The 5,389-nt window shown below is 53.8% G+C and overlaps 2 annotated features.

Annotated features, from left to right (window-relative positions):
• Positions 1,131-2,010: an enhancer, noted in NCBI's record as "H3K4me1 hESC enhancer chr2:72159067-72159946 (GRCh37/hg19 assembly coordinates)". NCBI's record gives its function as "activates a minimal SCP1, AML or CMV promoter by ChIP-STARR-seq in primed H9 embryonic stem cells {active_cell/tissue: H9 hESC(primed)}" and the evidence as "EXISTENCE:reporter gene assay evidence [ECO:0000049][PMID:30033119]".
• Positions 3,577-4,077: an enhancer, noted in NCBI's record as "H3K4me1 hESC enhancer chr2:72157000-72157500 (GRCh37/hg19 assembly coordinates)". NCBI's record gives its function as "activates a minimal SCP1, AML or CMV promoter by ChIP-STARR-seq in naive H9 embryonic stem cells {active_cell/tissue: H9 hESC(naive)}" and the evidence as "EXISTENCE:reporter gene assay evidence [ECO:0000049][PMID:30033119]".

The following is a 5,389-nucleotide window of genomic DNA, read 5'->3' as shown; positions in this document are numbered from 1 at the left end:
CACTGCAGCCAGCTTTCTCCTTCCCTGCTCCAAGATCTGGCCTCTGCTCTGCCCCATTTCTCCTCCAAAGGGCTCTTGCCGAGACCATCTGGATCCTCCACTACCAACAGTGATGCAAGTATCTTGGTCTTCAGTGCACTGTCCTCCCTCAGCATTGGACACTGTTGGACCCGTCCCCCTTCGTGATGCCCCCTGCTTCCACTGGCTGTGCCTTCTGTGGTCCTTTGCAGGCCCTCTGTCCTGTGGTCTTGGCCAGGCTCACTCCACACACCCTGGACGAGTGTGGCTGCGCCTGGAATCAGTGACCATCTCTGTGGCAACAACTCTCAGGTGCTCCCTTCTGAAGGCCTTGTTGTGTCCCAGCTGGACACCTCCCCACAAGTACAGCAGTCTTGGCCATCTCTCTTGCAGAAAACTGAACTCAGCTTATCCCTCCTGCCCTTCCCCCAAACCTGCTCCTCCTCAGGTAAACTCATCTTTGGTGCCCACCCAACTCTGCCCCCAGCACTCCCTATCGCAGCAAACAGCTGCCCGAGTCACTCTGTTGCTCAAGCCAGAGACCTGGGAGCTGCCCCTAACTCCTTCCCTTCCAGTCCTGCCCCCAGCAGGAGTCCTTGTGGGTCACTTGCCACGTCTGCCCTCTCTGTTGGCCCAGCCTGGGCTCGGTCAGTCCTCATCATCAATGTCCAGTCCCCTTTACGAGGGCAATTGCCTTCATTGCCAGGGGCAGGATGCCTGCTAGTTGCAGGGAGCAGGGCCAGGATGGTGATGGACATGGTCCTGTCCCTCTACCAGGAGGCCCTGGGGCACAGTGGGTTGAAGTGGTCTCTTCGCGGTGCCAGGAGCAACATGACCCCCAGCAGGGCAGACTCCCAGCCCTGTGTGCTGTGCTCAGAAGCCTTTCGCCAAGGGCAGACCAGCCCCAAGGTCATCTGCACTCCCAGGGCCACACTAAGCTACGTTCCAAGGCACCTGTCTGGTGGCTGGAGGAGGAAAATGGAGGTTTCCAAACTGAGAACCTGGAGCAGGTGGGCGCTCCCCACACAGAGCTCCTGGTAGTCTGTGTGCTTCCGGCGTAGGGAAGCTCTGCTCTGTCCACCCCACCCAAGGGTCCACCTCAGCAGCACAGCCCTCCTTGAGGTAGACCTTATCCCAGCCACGCTCTCCTGACTTCCTGGGAACAAGGCACTCCCTCTCCTGACCCTCTGCCCAGTGTGAACAAAGTGGAGCTGCAGGAGTGGAATAAAGCAAGACTTGCTGGACCCTGAGGAGGGGCTGGCGTATCACAAGGAAACTGCCTTGTTCCCAAAAACCGTCTGTCTGGCTGTGGTGGCAGAGACTCCTGGTAGCTCTTCCTTTCTCTGGGGTGAATGCACTGGGCAGGGTGAGAAGTCTGAGTCCCATCAGCTGCCATAACTAGCCCCTCAGATCTCCTGAGGACCACGGCGGGTGGGGAGAGAGGCAGAGGCAGGGCGACTCCCCCTGGGGGGCCTATTGGCACATGGCCCCATGGAAGTGGGGGCACTGAAGAGAATCCTGGGGCCTGGCAGGCTTGGGGAACCAAGCACGGTGGCCTGGGGGAGGGGCGGAACCAGTGGGAGACAAGCTTTCAGACTTTCAGGGAACGTAAATTTTACCCCCGGCTACTTTCTCTGGGATTTATTTCTCGGTGAACTTGAGACTTTGCCTAATTACGTTTGGGTCTCTTTCAAAGCACATAAATTGCATCCAGTTCTTCTGCCTCCTTCTTAGGAATAAATTGTCCCTGTGTGAGGGGGGATCTGGGGGAGAGAGTGAGACTTTATTAATTCGACACAGAACTCTGTTCCCCTGCCCTTCCCTCTGCCCCCCGTTGAATAATAAAATAATGAAGATTTGACTTGGACCAGGATGTATGGATAAATATATTGGTGACATGAATGGAAATGGATTTATTACATAAACAGGAGACTTCATCAATTTAAACCTGGCCTCCTTTCAATGAGCATAAATTACATTTTCTTTTCCTACCAGTTGCTTTTTTTTTTTTTTTTTTTTTTTAAGAAACTGGATTTATCGGAATTGAGATTCCACTAATTTATTTCACGGAGCGTGTGCTTCCTCTTTTTGCCCACCTCATTAGAGACAGGTTTCCTTCCAGCTCTCTTCTTTCCCACTCAGGGCAATGTGGTCCCCTGGGAGGTCAGAGGTGAGGCTGGGTGGAGTGTGGGCTGTCTCAGTTGGGCCCTGAGAGACCCTCGAGCCTCTACTCCATCTAGAGCAATCCAGTCCTTAGGCAGGGAGGCCACATCAAGATGTCCAGCCCCAGAAGCAGAAGAAGGCCCCCATGAGGCTGAGAGATGGCCCAATGCAGGACCTGGCCTCAGCGGGTCCTAGGACAGGGCAGCAGGCAAGTGGCAGGGGAATTCAGCAAACACGATTGCAGCAAGCGCTTCAGGTGTTTGGCTAGGAGTTCCAAGTGAGGTGGCCATGGGAAGGCTGAAGGGAGTGCCCAAAGGTCCCATCAAAGACCAGTGGCAGGCCAGGCGCGGTGGCTCACACCTGTAATCCCAGCACTTTGGGAGGCCAAGGGTGGCGGATCATAAGAGGTCAGGAGTTTAAGGCCAGCCTGGCCAACGTGGTGAAACCCTGTCTCCACTAAAAATACAAAAATTAGCCAGCTGTGGTGGTGCACACTTGTAATCCCAGCTGCTCAGGAGGCTGAGGCAGGAGAGTCCCTTGAACCCAGGAGGCGGAGTTTGCAGTGAGCCACAATGTGCCATTGCACTCCTCCAGCCTGGGTGACAAGAGTGAAACTCTGTCTCAAAAAACAAAAACAAAAACAAAAAGACCAGTGGCAGGACATAAGTGGCCAAGGATTGATGTAGGAGTGCAGGGCCCTGTTTAGGTAGGTCCTCTTCCTCCCACTCCTTCCTTTCTCCTCCTGCCTTCTCTTAGCACAATGGAGATTTGGATCAACACCAGCTACAACGTTTGGTTGGTACAGGGAGGAAGGCTTGCAACTGCCCTGGGGAGGAAGACGTGGCCAGTGGGCTCGGGCTGTGCTTTTTTTCCGTAACTACCAGCATGGCGATGTTCCTTCCAGCCTGAAAAGTCCATGTAGGGAGCCTCAGATCTGCCTCTCCCCAGGTATCACTCCTCAAGCTTGGACAGTGCTGAAAGTCTTGAATATTCTCATTCATTTAAAGTGGTGAGAAACTCAATGTGTCAACGCTCCCAGGGATGCAGGCATGAGGAAGAAGGGTAGCTGGCATTTTATTTAGAGAACCTGAAGAGGACCATGTGTAACTCGAAGGAGTGACTAATGTAGGGAAATTGGGGCACCACAAGAATGAACTGATGAGAGATTTCTGTGCACTAGGCCTGCCTGACTCCACCGAGTCTCCCATGCTGAAAGGGGAGGGGCACTGCCTCAGCAACACTGGCCCTGCGGGAGTAAGCCCATGTGGGGAGGAGGCTCATCCTCCCGAGGTTCATCACCCGAACCCTCATCCCCATCTCCCATCCCACCCATTTCACCAGCCCCAGGCCTGGCAGGGGGGCAGTGGTGGCTCTGCAAGCTGTCACTCACCAGGCCTGCATCGGGCACAGGTGTTTCTAATAAGGGCTCCTCAGGCCGGCTGCATCCAGGAGGATGTTTACAAGAAGGTCTGATGAGAAATTGTCTCCAAATGCTTGTCTTGTAAGCAAGATGTTAAGAAGGGGGGCCAGCGGGCGCGCCTTAGGCTGTAAGCAAACAGGACTCCAGAATTGGGCCTGGCCAGTGCTCTCCCTACCCGGCTCCCTTCTTGGCCAGGAGTGGCAGGCTGGGGCCTGGGCAGGTCTGGGCCCACTGCCAAGGGTGCTAAGTACCATGGGGGTTGGGTTTCAATAAACAAAAGCAATAATGTCGGAAGAACCTCCACAATAAACAAAGACTGGGGCATCCCAATATTGCTATCAAACCCCTGAGGCCTTGTCTCTGACCCTGTGGTCTTCCTTTAGCCCCTCCTCCACAGGGAGAGGGGCAGGAAATCACAGGTTTTATTATCAGCATAATGAATAATCAACACGTTATTAAAGAGCATCTTCCTGGAGAAGCCCAGAGAAGGAAGAGGGGTATCCTGTTTTCAAGCCTTCACACGGAGAACTCTCCAGTATGATTACATCCTCTAAAAGGAAGGTAGGGGGATGCAAAACAGGGGGGCTGCAAGCTTTTTCTGTAAGGGTCAGATAGTCAATATTTTCGGCTTTGAGCCCCGCATAGTTTTTTTGAAACTACTGTTCTCTGCCACTGCAGTGCAAAGGCAGCCTTGGATAATAGGTCACTGAGTGGGCAGGGTGGGTTTTGATTGGCAGGCAGTAGTGTGCTGACCTCTGATGCACAGGATCAAACAAGTCCCAGAGAGGAGAAGTGACCAGCCAAGATCATAAAACCTGTGGGCAACTGAGCAGGACAACTGCCCAGGCTCTGGACCCCTCTGCCCTGCAGGCTGCACAGACAAGCACGACCAGCTCAGTATAGCCTACCAAGGTGGGTCCTAGGGACCTGAACTAGGAACAAGGGAATTGCACCGCGTGGAAGAGGCCAGTGTTTTGGAGAGGAACTTGGTAGTCGAGAGAGGTACAGACAAAAGGAGGAGCATTGTTGGGCTGTCCCAGTGCTGCTAGACAACAGCTTCCGGTGCCTTCCCTGAGTTGCGGAGATGAACACGAAGGAGGGTTTCAGGAGCCAGGAGTGGTGCTGCTGACCACTGAGGCTGCAGATGTCCCCCTTTGAACATGATCCCTGTGGTGGTGGTGGGGGCTTGTGTGGGGTCACGGGGTCCCTGGGGTGAAGCTGTGCTAGAGAAGAAGGGTGCAGTTCAACTTGGGTAGTCTCTGTGAGAATGGAATCAAAGGTTCCTTGAGGTGTGGGTGAGATTGAAGGGCACTGAATAAGGTTGGGCTGGGCATGTTTTGTGGTGGGTTGGTGTGTGTACAGGACTTGAAGGCCCAGTGTAGCTGGGGGTTCAATGTGGCTAGGGGATCGGTGAACCGTGGGCAAGCTTAGGGCTGCCATCAGAGTGCCCTCTCTTTAAGTGGAGGGGCAGTGAGGTTTGGCACGGGGTGTTCTGCTTGTAGCCAGGTTGAGCATTAGTGTGACATTTGGCTTCAGGGTTGACATGTCTTTGTTAGGTAGACTTGGGCTGGAGGTTAGGGCATGGATGGGGTTTGAAGATCAGTGTAAGCTTGAGACACTGAGGGTTGGTCTGAGGTGAAGTTTGGTGAATCAGCTTTGGTAAGGCTTGGTAAGTCTTCGTATGAGGTGAAGTTCTAGAGTTAAGGGTGTGGCCTTGTTTTAAGGTCTTGGGTTGGCTGGGATTGAGGTCATTGTTTGGTTAAGGTTCATGGAGTCAGTGAGTGTTTA

This window comes from Homo sapiens, chromosome 2 (genome assembly GCF_000001405.40).
Source record: "Homo sapiens chromosome 2, GRCh38.p14 Primary Assembly".
Taxonomy (NCBI): Eukaryota; Metazoa; Chordata; class Mammalia; order Primates; family Hominidae; genus Homo; species Homo sapiens.
Note: the sequence above shows the minus strand (reverse complement) of the source record. Positions and strands in the feature narration are given on the sequence as shown.